Raw genomic sequence first — 14343 nt, 5'->3', positions numbered from 1 at the left:
CTTACAGTGTCAAACTTCAGAGGAGGCAAATATGAAATAGAAAATGCAATGCTTTATCCCACTCTTTGGAACTAGGTGAGGAACAGCAGCAAAATAAAATGAAAAAAAAAAAACTCTGGTCTCCTGAATTGAGTCTGTTGGCTAATATCTCACCGTCTAAAAGATATGCAGAGATAAACAGTAGTTCAGTGTGTCTGTCATTCCTACACATGTAAAGCACCAAGCGAAAATCAAGTGTTTGTTTATAATCACTCAAGGACAGGAGGGTCCTTGCACGTAGAACATTCAATCCACTACCATTCATAATGTATTACTAATCACAATCAATCTCCAATCACTGATGTCTTCCCACACAGGGCAGCAAACCTAACCATTTATTCCTTTTAGAAGAATAATTTTTTCAACATATTAAATATGTATGTAAAGATGAGTATGAAGTTTGAGTCATACATTTTAACAACACTACTTGTAAGATTTTTTTAAAAAACATACAAGGATGCAGTTCTTCCTAGTAACTAACCACACTGCCTTCATATATACTACAAGATACACTTTTCATTTTATCCTTTAACCTCAGTATATCCAATCACAACTCCTTCCATATTTCTTTTCTTTCCATAATTCTTTTTTTTTTTTTTTTTTTTTGAGATGGCGTTTCACTCTTGTTGTCCAGGCTGGAGTGCAATGGTGCGATATCGGCTCACCATAACCTCCGCCTCCCAGGTTCAAGTGATTCTCCTGCCTCAGCTTCCCGAGAAGCTGGGATTACAGGCACCTGCCACCATGCCCAGCTAATTTTGTATTTTTAGTAGAGACGGAGTTTGCTCATGTTGGTCAGGCTGGTCTCGAACTCCCGACCTCAGGTGATCCGCCCGCCTTGGCCTCCCAAAGTGCTGGGATTACAGGCATGAGCCACCGTGCCCAGCCTTCCTTCCATAATTCTAATGGGCAGCACTTCGAAGAAACTGATGAGCTACTGACATTAAAGTGACCAGAGACACACAGATTTAATGAAGAAAAGCCACTGGGTAAACTGAACATGGCATATGCTGTTAAAATTAATGAATTCAAGCAAACTGAATAGTTTTTTGAAGCTCATAATTAAAAATAAATTGCTAAATGCCGTCAGTATTATACTCCCAAAAAATGGACTCTTAAAATTATATTTTGAATGAATCTGAAGACCAGCCACAATTAAAAAAAACGAAATACAAACCACCCCAGGAAATTCAAAGGGAAGTGTTTGTTTACTTATTCTCAGGATTTATTTTGTAATCTATTTTACGATAAGAAATATGATGAAATTTACTCAAAGGTCAGATTCTTGACTTTACATACAGAGCAGGAAACAGAAAAAAAATTTACATTTAACTTGTTTTCTTCTGCTTGCTATTATCTTAAATTAGAAAATGCTTGTATCATAGATACATTTTTACTTAAATGTTCAAGGAACATTTTTTATTAAAGAATAAATTCAAGTCTCTATTTCTAACTTTAATGTGTTTCCAGCATTTACTCTAGTCTTGGAAAAAGAAATGCAAAAGAAAAAAATCCTGGAGTCATCATTACTGTCTTATTCCATATCAAAGAAGCAATATGGACTAAAACAGGAAATGGATTCACAGGCTCCTCGTTCTTGCTCTATTTGTTTGTTTTTGTTGTTGTTGTTGTTGTTGTTTTTGGAGATGGAGTTTCACTCTTGTTGCCCAGGCTGGAATGTGATGGTTTGATCTCAGCTCACTGCAACCTCTGCCTCCCAGGTTCAAGCAATTCTCCTGCCTCAGCCTCCCAAGTAGTTGGGATTACAGGCTTGCACCACCACACCCAGCTAATTTTGTATTTTTTTTTTTTAGTAGAGACGGGGTTTCACCACATTGGTAAGGCTGGTCTTGAACTCCTGACCTCAAGTGATCCACCCACCTTGGCCTCTTGCTCTACTGGTTAAAAGTTAGTGTTCCTTAGGGTCCATCCTCAGCCCAATTCTCATTACACTAGTGATTGCCAAAGTATTTTCTTCCTGCCACTAGTGGGATAGAGCTGATTCAAAATTGTTGCTTCTGTTGGTTGTGACATTTGACTGAGGGCTTACATAGTAGTAGTACATGCTGGTTGCCATTCCAACTCTCTCTAGCTGAATAAGAGCAAGGACAAGGAAAGGGCCTGAATGATTAATCCCATCCCCCTAGCTAATGGCTTGCTCAGAAGTGAACTGCATTTCAAATTTTTATTCAATTCTGGGCAGTGAAATCAAGGACAGAGCTCCTGAACCTTTCTGATATAGTCTTACTTTTAATAGAGAATACTGAGACTACTCTCTTTTCTCTGGACATTATTAACAAGGAAGCATATTTCCCTGGCTGCTGCTGGCAGTTATTTTGCAACCATGAGGGTAAAGCAAAACACAGAAGTGCAGAGTCCAAACACAGCCCTGCCCTATTGTCCTTGAAGCTTCTGGTTTCTCAATCAGATTAGCCACGCAAACTCCTTTGTATTTCAGCCAGTTCCAATTGTCTGAAGCTGAAAGCAAACTACCAATAACAAATACGTTAAATTATTAAGAGTTATTAATTTGGTGTTCACAAGTTAGAGTTACCAGAGTTTACTAAGGATTATTTCAGTGTTCTGTGAAGACATGTGGCTGCCACATACTTTGCCAAAACTCTGCAAAACTCCTGTTGTATATGCACATTATGAACAAGTTGGAATTTCCAAAATTGGGTCTGGTTATTAGTGCAAAATCAATATTAAATTATGGTTTTTAATTTCAACCATTCTTTCCTGTCTTGCACATCAACTTAGTTATCTTAGTTATATAAGCATACCTGCACCATTTCTAGCCTATAATTTTAAAAAAATCAGTCTTCCCATACAGCATATAAACATATATAGCATATTTGCACCATTTCCAGCCTATAATTTTTAAAAATCAGCCTTCATGATACAAGTTTTTAAAGTGCAAACAGTCCCCGTATTTCACACTACAGTGCTTTGCATATAATTGGAAATATGCTGGATAGTTACAGATATGATCTGACTTTTACATATACCTATGGACATATATATGAACACAGGAAAAAGGACTTGTAGTTTCACACTAAATGGTTAACATTTACCATATACATTTCTATTTTTTGTTTCAATCTTTTTAATGGACACCGAGTTTTTGTAAATTTATTTTTATTAAAAGAATTTTAGCTGAATTCTTTACTTTCCTAATATATTTGGTTAGGTCCCCAGAATCTGACCAAACACTTTTCCTTTATTACCCAAATCTGTGTAAATAATGGAGTGCAACGCTGTGTAATCAGTTTTTATTATTTTATCACAAAGAACCTCTTGAAAGAAGTTTTTCTGCTTCAGACAATGAGGAGCTAAGATGAACCAGAGTCCTAAAAATAGGTCCAACAGAGAAAATGATAAAGATTAAAAACAAGTAAGAACCACTGTGGCAGGAATTACAATATTGATATTAAATATAAAGATGTGTTACAATATGAGAAAGTTCTAAGTTGTGATGAAGATGAAATAGACAAATATGAATGAAGATTTTTCAAATACTAAGCTCAGGTTGCTTAGAAGTAACATAAAACTGGATTCTTTCTGACCATCTCTCCATTTGGCCTGAGTTTAGCTCTCATTTTACCTGAATGCAAAAAGGCTCAATGGATGAACTCCAAAATGCTGCCCTTACTACTTTGAGTCTCCACCAATAATCTATTTCCTTCAGTAAAAATTCTTTGTCCAACTCACGACTTAACTGTACAGAAACTAAAAAAAAAAAAGTTTTCTACTTGTAATGCTTTTTAGACCAAATAAAAATTTTAAAGATTTTTACATATTAAAGCAGTTACTATACACCCTCCCTTTCTGAATTAAAAACAGCAGCTCCATAACACATCTATTCACAGACTCTTACTTTTTTCATGTTCAAAGTCACTCATCCTGCAATTACAACAAAAAATTTACAACGACCCTTAAGAGGTTCCCTATTCTCCCTGGTATAGAAGAAGGCCTTCTATGGCCCATTCACTTTACACTGGTTATGATAACACCAAGCAACCAACTTAGTAGAACATTAAGAGAAATCTTTTATTACAATTTAGCCTCTGAATCATGTTCATGGCTCCACAAAAATAACGGCTAAAATGTCTTTTAAAATTTCAATAGCTTTGGTTACATGGATGGATTATATAGTGGTGAATTCTGAGATTTTAATGCACCTGTCATCTGAATAGTGATGTTGTAACCATTATGTAGTTTTTTTATCTGGCACTCTCTTCCCACGTCTGTCTCCTATGTCTATTATATCACTGTATGCACTTGCATATTCATAGCTTAGTTCCCACTTATAAGTGAGAACATATAGTATTTGGTTTTCCATTCCTGAGTTACTTCACTTAGAATAATGGCCTGCAGCTCCAACCAAGTTGCTGCAAAAGACATTATTTTGTTCCTTTTTATGGCTGAGTAGTATTCCACGGTGTATACATATCACATTTTCTTTATCCACTCATTAGTCAATGGACACTCAGGTTGGTTCCATATCTTTGCAACTGTGAATTGGGCTGCAATAAACATGCATGTGTAGGCGTCTTTTTCATATAATGATTTCTTTTCCTCTGGGTAGATACCCTGTAGTGGGAGTGCTGGATAGAATGGTATTTCTACTGTTAGGTTTTTTTTTTTTGAGATGGAGTCTTGCTCTATCACCGAGGCTGGAGTGCAGTGGCGTGATCTCGGCTCACTGCAACCTCCGCCTCCCAGGTTCAAGGTCTCAGCCTCCTGAGTAGCTGGGATTAGGCACCCTCTACCACACCCGGCTAATTTTTGTATTTTTAGTAGAGATGGGGTTTCATCATGTTGGCAAGGCTGGTCTCAAACTCCTGACCTCAAGTGATCTGCCCACCTCAGCCTTCCAAAGTGCTGGGATTACAGGTGTGAGCCACCGTGCCCAGCCTTCTACTGTTACTTCTTTAAGGAATCTCCACACTACTTTTCATAGAGCTTGTACTAATTTACATTACCACCAGCAGTGTATAAGCATTCCCCTTTCACCAGATCTGGCCATTCTTGCAGTAATAAAGTGGTATCTCATTGTGGTTTTAATTTGCATTTCCCTGATGACTAATGATTCCAAGCACTTCTTCATGTTTGTCGACCACTTGTATATCTTATTTTGAGAAATGTCTACTCCTGTCATCTACTCACTTTTTGATGGAATTATTTGTGTTTTTCTCCTGCTTATTTGTTTGAGTTCCTTGTAGATTCTGGATACTAGTCCTTTGTCAGATGTATAGTTTGCAAATATTTTCTCCCACTTTGTGGGTTGTCTGTGTACTCGGATGATTATTTCTTTTGCTGTGCAGAAGTTTTTTGATTCCGTTAGGTCCCATTTATTTATGTTTTTGTTGCATTTGCTTCTGGGGTTTTAGTCATGATTCTTTTTTTATTATTATTTTTTAGATGGAGTCTCACTCTGTCGCCCAGGCTGGAGTGCAGTGGCATGATGTCGGCTCACTGCAAGATCCGCCTCCCGGGTTCACATCATTCTCCTACCTCAGCCTCCTGAGTAGCTGGGACCACAGGTGCCCGCCACCACACCTGGCTAATTTTTTTTTTTTTTTTTTTTTTTTTTTGTATTTTAGTAGAGACGGGGTTTCACTGAGATCAGGATGGTCTTGATCTCCTGACCTTGTGATCCGCCCGCCTCGGCCTCCCAAAGTGCTGGGATTACAGGCGTGAGCCACCATAGTCATGAATTCTTTGCCTAGGCCAATGTCAGAAGAGGTTTTCCAAGGTTATCTTCTAGTTCCAGTTTTGAGTCTTAGATTTAAGTCTTTGATCCATCTTGAATTGACTTTTGTATAAGGTGAGAGATAGGAATCCAGTTTCATTCTTCTTCATGTGGCTAACCAGTTCTCCCAGCACCATTTATTAAATAGGGTGTCCTTTCCTAATTTACTTTTTTGTATGCTTTATTGAAGATCAGGTTGGTTATACATATTTGGCTTTATTTCTGAGTTCTCTGTCCTGTTCCATTGGTCTACATGCCGACTTTTATACCAGTACCATGTTGCTTTGGTAACTACAGCCTTGTAGTATAACTGGAAATCCCGTAGTGGGTGATGCCTCCAGATTTGTTCTTTTTGTTTACAATTACCTTTGGCTACCTGAGCTCTTTTTTGGTTCCATATGAATTTTAGGATATTTTTCTAATTCCATGAAAAATGATGTTGGTATTTTGATAGGGACTGCATTGAATCTGTCAACTGGCACAATATTGATTCTTCCAGTCCATGAGCATGAGTTGTGCTTCTATTTGTCTGTGTTATCTATGACTTCTTTCAGCAGTGTTTTTTAGTTCTCCTTATAGAGATCTTTCACCTCCTTGGTTAAGTATATTCCTAGGTATTTTATATTTTATTGCAGCTGTTGTAAAGGGGATTGGGTTCTTGATTTGATTCTTGGCTTGGTCATTGGTGTACAGCAGTGCTACTGATTTGTAAACACTGATTTTGTAACCTCAGACTTTACTGAATTTGTTTCTCGAATCTAAGAGTCTTTAGGGTTTTCTAGGCATACAATCACGATAGTCTGACTTCCTCTTTTCCAATTTGGATGCTGTTTATTTCTTTTCTCTTGCGTGACTGCTCTGGCTAGGACTTCTAGGACTATGTTAAATAGAAGGGGTAAAAGTGGGCATTGTCGTCTTGTTATAGTTCTCAGGGGGAATGTTTTCAACTTTTTCCCATAGAGTATGATGTTTGCTGTGGGTTTGTCAGATATGGCTTTACTAATTTAAGGTAAAAGTCCCTTCCATGCCTAGTTTGTTGAGGGTTTTTATCATAAAGGAATACTGGATTTTATCAAATGCTTTTTCTTTGTCTATTGAGACGGTCGTATGGTTTTTGTTTGTAATTCTGTTTATGTGATGTATCACATTTATTGACTTGTGTATGTTAAATCATCCCTGGATCCCTGGGATGAGACCTACTTGATCATGGTGGATTGTCTTTTTTATGTCCTGCTGGATTCAGTTAGCTAGTGTTTCCTTGAGGTTTTCTGAATCTATGTTCATCAGGGATATTGGTCTGTAGTTTTCTTTTTAATTTTTATTTATTTATTATTTCTTGTAGTTTTTTTTTAAATGTTCTTTCCTGGTTTTGGTATCAGAGTGATACTGGCTTCATAGAATGATTTAGGGAGGATTCCCTCTTTCTCAATCTTTTGGAATTGGTACCAATTCTTCTTTAATGTTTGGTAGAATTCAGCTGTGAATCCATCTGGTCCTGGACTTTTTTTGTTGGCAAGTTTTTTTTTTTTTTTAAACTGATTCAATTTTGCTGCTTATCAGTCTGTTCAGGGTTTAATGATGGCAGAAATTTCTAAAGCTTTGCTTGGTGTCCTGCAGAGTAAACCTGGTGTTCAACAACTAACAATAATATTCAAAATGGAAAGTGCAGATAAAAATTCCAAGCAATGAGGAATGGTTTTCTATTATTAAAAATTGCACCAATAAGTAGGGTAAATTTTAGCTAAATCAAACCAAGATCCTATCTTGAACTGGTATACTGGCATTTGTGTCATTTCTCCTTCTGACTTATATAATAGATATCATAATAGAGACAAAAAAGATGGTAACAGAAAACCAAGTCAAAAAAGCATTATCAACTTTATCTATAAAAAGCCTCAACAGCTCTTCCCCCGCCTCACACAGTCTCAAAGCACTGAGACACGGTAATATAAATATTTGTGTACACAGACACACACACACACACACGCACAGATTTTTCTAACATGAATTTGAAAGAAAACAAGTCAGTATAACAGCCATGCCAGATCTCAGGAGCCTCAAGCCAGCAGCACTCCTACAGTACATGGTAGCCAGAATTCATTTTGCTACTAGAGACAAAAGAGAGCACCTACAGTGTTGTTACTCTAATAATATTTCCCTGCCTCTGACTGTTTAGGAGGCTAAATGAGGCTATTAAAATTCTCTTGCTAAGCTTTAATATGCTAGTAAATAGATATTATTTTCATATTGGAAAACTTCAACAATATGCTGACATACTGTAAAAGGAAATGTTATACTTAATGTGAGGAAAGCACCTAGCACCTCCCTGCACTCTGAAAAATTAAAACCTTAAAAAATGTGTTTTTCCTTTATTATAGACTACCCCCTAGAATCTCCTTTAACTTAGAGAACATCAGCATCCAGACATTTTACCATACTCTCTGGATCCCTTCTTACAAATATATCACTTGTTTGTACTAAAATAATCCCAATACTAAGTGAAAAATTAGGTTACAGGCCACAAAAGAAAATAAAAGTGGAACAATTAATCATAACAAATAATCAGCTGTGCAAACCACCACTGAACCTTTCCCAGGGTTTTTCCTTATCACTTCACAAAAATAGCTTAAGCACCGCTGTCCTATATCATTAGATTTAGAATCAAATCTAACATAAAAGGCAACCTTTATCTCTTCTGGTTCTTGCAAATAGCAAAGGATAAAAATCACAGTTTTAGAGCAGAGAGAAATGTTAGCAATGATCAATCCAATGCTTTCATTGTATAAATAAGAAAATGATGTGCAAGGTTGCATGATTTATTTAAGGACACTGAATGAATAGCAAAGCTGAAATTCAGATCCATTTTCTGATTCTTAGTTCAGATGAGTGTTCTTCACACTGACGCCTCTCCTTCAGAAATGCATATTTTCCAACAATTTTATGAAATGACTTTTTTTTTTTTTTTTTTTTCTGACAGGGTCTCACTCTTTAACCCAGGCCGGGTGCAGTGGTGCAATTGTAACTCACTGCAGCCTTGCACTCCTGGGTTCAAGCAATCCTCCTGCCTTAGCCTCCCCAGTAGCTGGGATTATAGGCACATGCCAACCACATCCAGCTGGTTTTAAAATTTTTCTTTTGTAGCGATGTGGTCTGGCTACGTTCACTAGCCTAGTTTTGAACTCTTGGCCTCAAGTGATCCTCCCCCCTTCACTTCCCAGTGTTGGGATTACAGGCATGAGCCCCTGCTCCTGGCCAAAATTACTTTTTAAAAAGTCATCAATGTTTTGCCGATCTTTTAAAGTATACTGATCATGAGTAACTACTCTTAAAGATAATTTCATAAAATGTTCACACATTCACTCACTCAACAAACAATTTTGAGAGATTACTATGCATAGGCACTGTACTCTGCTCCATGGGGTCAGAAAGATGAAACAGACATGATTCTGACCTTGAGACGCTTCAGCTGGATGGATGACAAGTTAGGACAGACATATAGAATCTGTAATTTGAGCAAAAGCTAAGAAATGCTTTTACTAAATTTTGATAAAAGGGTATAATCATATGCATATCTCAACACAAAAGAGAACATGTGGTTTTCGTGCTACACTTTTTTTTGAGACAGGGCCTTGCTCTGTCGCCCAGGCTGAAGTGCAATGGCACGATCACTGCCCACTGCAGGCTCAAACTCCTGGGTTCAATCAATCCTCTCACCTCAGCCTCCCAAGTACATGGGACTATAGGCGCACACCACCACCACCACACTGGGCTGATTTTTGTATTTTTTGTAGAGACAGGGTTTTGCCATGTTGCCCTGGCTAGTCTCAAACTCCAGAGCTCAAGTGATCCACCCGCCTCTGCCTGCCAAACTGCTGGGATTACAGGCATGAACCACCGCACCCAGCCTTCATGCAATCTTAGTAGTTCCTTATTTATGTAGGAATCCTGTAAATAATTACGTATTTGTGGAATAAGTTTTATTACAAAGAAAATGAACTAAGTGCTTAAACTGTATAACATAATTTGCAGTTTTGGATACTGCTTTTGAAGTCTCTTCCAAGTTACTATAATTATTTTTCATTATATTTTGTCTCCCTATGTAAAAATGTAGATTTATAATTCAACTAATTTGGCAAATATTTAAATGTTTTTACATTACAATGGGGTCACAAAAAAACTGTCTAAAAGAGAACAGAACACAAGCCAGCAAATAAATGAACATCTCAGACCAAACGTTTTCAAATGGGTTTGAGTTCCACTGGCCAAATATAGAACAGAGTAAAAGTTAGTGTAACTCCTAAGACCTGAGATAGAAATTTTAAGTTATGGCAATCTGGTGTGATTGATCATAAAATCAAAATTAATTTCCACAAAATATGTTAGTCACATTAAACCATCACATTAATATACCCTCTCAGCACTTACAGCACCATGTAAATGTACACCAAACTCACTCACAAGCACCTTACAGCCTTTGGAATTTCTGTTCCTTCCACTGAAGATGCTTCTGCCCAGGCCTCTGTCTTTGTCTGAATGTCACCTCCTCAGAGAGACCCTTTGAAGTCACTATCACATCACCTGATTTTATTTTCTGTATGTACTTCTCCTAAATTTAAACCCTGTTCACTTGTCTGGTTTCTGTTTAGTCCTCACTAGAAGGTAAGCTTGCTGAGCACAGGCACCTTATAAGTCATGTTCAGTACAGCAACCTTAGTGGTAGAATCTGACAAGCACTCAGAAACATTTGTTGAATGAATGAATGATGCCTAGAAAGTCAATAAATATTACGTCAGGGATATTAGATTTAAGTCCACAATAAAACTTCAAAGAAACTATTTCAAAAAAAGAAACATGTGCTCAGACCACTCATTTATTGATTTGGAATAAAGGCAGCTCATCTAGCAAAATGCTACTACAAGTATACTCCCCTCATAGACTACCTGAAATTCAATAGTTTAAAAAAATAAAAATAAAAACATGGTTAGCAAATACTTCTTTTTACAAGTCAGGACCACAAGTGACCAAGCTTCCGGTTTGTGATGTTCTTGGCCATTTAAAGAGCACTGAGTTCCATTTTACTTATTGTTATAATGTTTCCCCCAAGATTAGCACAGGTTCTCAAATAATAAATTTAGAACTGTCTTCTATTTAATGATTGTGAAATCTGAGAACATTTTGAACGGAAATTCTAGATCCAAACTATAAATCAAACACAAAAAATTAGGATCTTGGTAAGGAGGGGGCAAGGTCAGTTAATATCTAAATTAAAATTTGTTCAGCAGCCTATAAGTAGACATAAATCTTTGTTTTTTTGTTGTTGCTGTTGTTTAGACAGGGTCTCATTCTGTCACCCAGGCTGGAGTGCAGTGGCCTGATAACAATTCACTGTAACCTCAAACTCCTGGGCACAAACACTCCTGCCTCAGCCTCCTGAGTAGCTGGAACTACAGGCACAGGCCACAGCACCTGGCTAATTTTTAACTGTTTTTGTAGAGATGGGGCCTCATTATGTTGCCTGGGCTAGACTCGAACTCCTGAGCTCACACACCTGGCCAACATAAACTTTTAAGAAACCTAGCCACTCCAAGTCAGCTCCTAAAGACACTGTATCTGTTAACTTTGAAAAATAAGACTAACCATGTTAGGAATCCTGTTGAGATTCCAGCTTCTCTTAATTTCTGAATATGAAGTCAATTCCACTGTCTGTCACAATGGAATAAGAAAACACGTTATTTCAGGAAAACTGGTGAATAATATATCTGTTAGCCAAGCATTTACTATGTACCAAGGTCATAAAATAAGCGTAGTTTACTTAGATTTACCCACAGGCTACCAATATATCTGCTCATTATTCCCTCTTGCATTTCAGTCTTTCCTTCTGAGTTCAATTTCCTTCTCTCTTAAGTACATCTTTTAAAAGAATGTATGATGGTAGCCAACTCAGTTTTTATTTGTCCAAAAAGTCATTTCATCTTTACTCTTAAAGTTCACCTGGGTAAAAATTTAAGGTTGGCAGTTATCTTTTCTCAGTATTTTATAACTTGATCGTCTTTAGGCTTCCATCATCGCTACTGAGTAGTTAAATGTGGCTCTTTTATGATCAATCATCTATTTTTTTCTACTCTCTATTAAGATATTCTCTTTATATTTGATTTTCTGCATTTTCACGATAATGTGTCTAGGTGCAGAATTTTTACCTATCTCGCTTGGAGTTTCATTGTGCTTCCTAAAGCTGAGAATTCATGCCTTGTATCAAATCTCAGCCAGTATGTATTTAAACTGATAGCAGCTGAGAACTATCCCTATTCTTTCTGTGTAACTCCAATTAGATTCATTTTGAACCTCATTCTATTTTCCATAACTTTGAACTTCTCTTTTGCATTTTTCATCTCAGAGAAAAGAGACTCAGAGAAAACAAAGCAGTACTACATATGTTAATTTCCTAAACCATTCTTCAAAACATATCTATTTGCTGAACTTGTCCATTAAGTTTCTAAATTTCAATGACTATTTTTTTCCTTTGTTGGTTGTTTTGCTGCAACTTTCTGATGTTGTCTTTTTTCCTAGGTTCTGTCATTTTGGGTTACAGGCTAATATTGGAAAACTTTAATCTGGAGGAATATGAGAAGCTTGTGTTGAAAGCACATTCCTTCAGAAAGGCCATATATTTGCCTCTGCTCCAGTTGAGGCACTTCTAGCTCAGGATCATTTTAGTTTCTTATCTCTGGGTTTCCCAGACCACACAGGTGAACAAATTCAAATAGCAAACCTGTATTTTAAAAGAGTTATGGTTTAAATTTTCAGGGAAGACTTCTATTTGGATCTAAGGCTAAGAAAGACAAGCCTTCATCAGTATACTTTGCTGGTGGGTGGTTGTTCGCCCCAGCCTACCCTTTTACTAAGAGTATAAAGTCTTTAAGAGTTACAGCTCTATACAGGGATCCTCAGCTCCATTTCCCTGCCCTGAAAAATCCAGCCTTTTCTCGAGAAGATCCAGTACAACACAAAGCTCTGGAGTGTGGTTTGAACAAAGGCCCTTACTTAGGGCAGCGCCTGCATTAGCTTGATAACCATTAATTTTTCTCTTCGATTGCCCTGGGGAAATCCTTCACATCCTTGAGCTTGCAGGGAAAACATGTAAACGAATGTTATGGACATTTGTAGACATTTCACAGAATTTTTCAGGTTATCTAATCCATTATATTGCCACAAGTCTCTGAGAATAAGCTTTAAGACAATAATTTCCATCTTCAAAAGCAAGATTTAAAACAGTATTGTTTGCCCCTTCTGTGTTTCCATAGCACTACACAAAATAAGTATGTACTTATTTTACTCCACCTTGTCACTGTGGTTTACTTGTCTATTTCTCTGCCCTGATTTTAACAGACATCTCTAGTGCTCAACAATATAAGGTAATGCATAAACAATAACTTATTACCTCAGTGATTCCTGCTTTAGCTACAACAGGAAAATAAGAATTAGCAGACTGCTTAACTTCGCTATAATTTTGAAGATAAGAATCAAGGGCAGTGACATGGTTTTCACTATGCTCTCTATATTTTTAAGACAATAAAGGCTACCAGAGGTTTTGATGAATGCTCTAAACAGGAGAGTAGGAATGGAAACTTACTGGTTGATCCTGTGCCACATGAGACAGTAACTCAGGAGCAATGAGGATAGACTTTACATGTGTTTTAGGGGCAAAACTGACAGGTATCTGATTTGACATGAAGGATGAAAGAGGGACTGACTCTAAGGCTAAAGAGAATGAACTACAGCAAAGAGATCAAAGTTACAAGAAGTTAATATTAATAAAGAACTATTTAAAACTTGGCATATATATTAAAAAGCTGAATGAAACTGACTATATCACCCCCAGTTAAAAATGTTTCATTTTACTTCATCTGATGAGTACCAGGAAATCCAATTGTTGCAATATATCCAGGATCTCTATTATTTGGCCATAATCTTCTTTTCCAGCCATACCTTTCATTATTTCTTCACCTTCCCTAATCCAGTCAAATAAAATTACTCATTTATTAATGATTTTCTGCAACTGCCCAAACTCTTCTCTCCTTTGTTCCTTGTGTTCTTGCAGTTGGCAACCCCTATAAAGATTCAGATTCTACCCTATCCTTCAAGTTCTAGCTCAACTGCCACTTCTTCCATGAAGCTTACTCGGAACAACCTTCTTGAGAAGAGTATCTGTCCTAAATCAACTCTGCAGCTTCCCAAAAACCTACCACAGCGCCTTGCACAAAGAAATTAAATAGCAACTGATAAATGAGCACTAGCCCAGGATACGGCAGAGAAGAAATTTAATTCTTAAAAGGGAAACTGGGCTTGAACTCTGATATCCCTTTAAAATCTAAGGTTTTGTGATTCTATAAAACCTTTATTAAAAATACTTTTTTTTTTTTTTGAGACGGAGTCTCTGTCTGTCACCCAGGCTGGAGTGCAGTGGCGCGATCTCAGCTCACCGCAAGCTTTGCCTCCCGGGGTTCACGCCATTCTCCTGCTTCAGCCTCCCAAGTAGCTGGGACTACAGG

The 14343-nt window shown here is 37.2% G+C and overlaps 1 protein-coding gene and 1 long non-coding RNA gene across 11 annotated transcripts in view; both read right to left on the bottom strand.

The window, feature by feature from the left end:
- Positions 1 to 14343, bottom strand: part of POU2F1 (POU class 2 homeobox 1) — a 206461-nt gene that overhangs the window by 127537 nt on the left and 64581 nt on the right. The gene's annotated exons all lie outside the window — the stretch shown is intronic.
- The window catches only part of LOC124900412 (uncharacterized), a 52839-nt gene continuing 43849 nt past the window's right edge, over positions 5354 to 14343 (bottom strand). The window contains exon 2 of the long non-coding RNA XR_007066718.1: positions 5354 to 14343. This exon is cut by the window's right edge and continues 27201 nt beyond it. This is a non-coding gene — a long non-coding RNA (uncharacterized LOC124900412).

This window comes from Homo sapiens, chromosome 1 (assembly GCF_000001405.40).
Source record: "Homo sapiens chromosome 1, GRCh38.p14 Primary Assembly".
NCBI classification, from domain to species: domain Eukaryota; kingdom Metazoa; phylum Chordata; class Mammalia; order Primates; family Hominidae; genus Homo; species Homo sapiens.
The sequence above is the reverse complement of the archived record's forward strand: the minus strand, read 5'-3'. Positions and strand labels throughout refer to the sequence as shown.